The 1,802-nt window shown below is 45.2% G+C and overlaps 1 annotated feature.

Moving 5' to 3' along the window:
- Positions 210 to 850: an enhancer, noted in NCBI's record as "H3K27ac-H3K4me1 hESC enhancer chr2:148484865-148485505 (GRCh37/hg19 assembly coordinates)". NCBI's record gives its function as "activates a minimal SCP1, AML or CMV promoter by ChIP-STARR-seq in naive H9 embryonic stem cells {active_cell/tissue: H9 hESC(naive)}" and the evidence as "EXISTENCE:reporter gene assay evidence [ECO:0000049][PMID:30033119]".

Genomic DNA, 1,802 nt, shown 5'->3' with positions numbered 1-1,802 from the left:
CTAGTTATACATTCTTCTAAATTTTTTTCAAAGTTTTCAACTTCTTTGCCTTTGGTTTGAATGTCCTCCCGTAGCTCAGAGTAATTTGATCGTCTGAAGCCTTCTTCTCTCAGCTCGTCAAAGTCATTCTCCATCCAGCTTTGTTCCGTTGCTGGTGAGGAACTGCGTTCCTTTGGAGGAGGAGAGGCGCTCTGCGTTTTAGAGTTTCCAGTTTTTCTGTTCTGTTTTTTCCCCATCTTTGTGGTTTTATCTACTTTTGGTCTTTGATGATGGTGATGTACAGATGGGTTTTTGGTGTGGATGTCCTTTCTGTTTGTTAGTTTTCCTGCTAACAGACAGGACCCTCAGCTGCAGGTCTGTTGGAATACCCTGCCATGTGAGGTGTCAGTGTGCCCCTGCTGGGGGTTGCCTCCCAGTTAGGCTGCTCGGGGGTCAGGGGTCAGGGACCCACTTGAGGAGGCCGTCTGCCAGTTCTCAGATCTCCAGCTGCGTGCTGGGAGAACCACTGCTCTCTTCAAAGCTGTCAGACAGGAACATTTAAGTCTGCAGAGGTTACTGCTGTCTTTTTGTTTGTCTGTGCCCTGCCCCCAGAGGTGGAGCCTACAGAGGCAGGCAGGCCTCCTTGAGCTGTGGTGGGCTCCACCCAGTTCGAGCTTCCTGGCTGCTTTGTTTACCTAAGCAAGCCTGGGCAATGGCGGGCGCCCCTCCCCCAGCCTCGCTGCCACCTTGCAGTTTGATCTCAGACTGCTGTGCTAGCAATCAGCGAGACTCCGTGGGCATAGGACCCTCCGAGCCAGGTGGTGGATATAATCTCGTGGTGCGCCATTTTTTAAGCCCGTCGGAAAAGCGCAGTATTCGGGTGGGAGTGACCCAATTTTCCAGGTGCGTCCGTCATCCCTTTCTTTGACTCGGAAAGGGAACTCCCTGACCCCTTGCGCTTCCCAAGTGAGGCAATGCCTCGCCCTGCTTCGGCTCGCACACGGTGCACGCACCCACTGGCCTGCGCCCACTGTCTGGCACTCCCTAGTGAGATGAACCCGGTACCTCAGATGGAAATGCAGAAATCACCCGTCTTCTGCATCGCTCACGCTGGGAGCTGTAGACCGGAGCTGTTCCTATTCAGCCATCTTGGCTCCTCCCCTAGTGTCGGTAATAATTCTTTAAATGTTTGGTAGAATTTAGCAGTGAAGCCATCAGGTCCTGGACTTTTCTTTGATGGAAGACTTTTTATTACTAATTCAATCTCATTACTCACAATGGGTCTATTCAGGTTTTCTATTTCTTCTTGGTTCAATGTTGGTAGGTTACATGTGCCCGGGCATTTAACCATTTTCATTAGGTATCTAATTTGTTGGCATACAGTTGTTCATAACAGTCTCTAATGAGACTTTGTATTTCTGTGGTATCAATAGTAATGTCTCCTTCTTTATTTATTATTTTATTTATTTGTGTCTTTTCTTTTTCTTGGTTAGTCTAGCTAATGATTTGTCAATTTTATTTGTCTTTCCAGAAAACAAACTTTTCACTTCCTTGTTTTATATATTTTTTAGACCTAGTTTTATTTATTTCTGCTCGCATCTTTATTATTTCTTTCATTCCACTAATTTTGAGTTTGGTTTGTTCTTGTTTTTCTAGTTTCTTCAGATACGTCGTTAGGATGCTTATTTGAAATCTTTCTACATTTTTGAAGTAGGTGTTTGTTGCTGTGAACTTCTCTCTTACTATTACTTTTGCTGTATCCCCTAGGTTTTGGTATGTTGTGTTTCTATTTTTATTTGTTTCGAGACATTTTTAAATTTTCT

The sequence above is a fragment of the Homo sapiens genome, chromosome 2 (assembly GCF_000001405.40).
Source record: "Homo sapiens chromosome 2, GRCh38.p14 Primary Assembly".
Lineage (NCBI taxonomy): Eukaryota > Metazoa > Chordata > Mammalia > Primates > Hominidae > Homo > Homo sapiens.
This window is presented reverse-complemented; position numbering and strand designations above follow the sequence as displayed.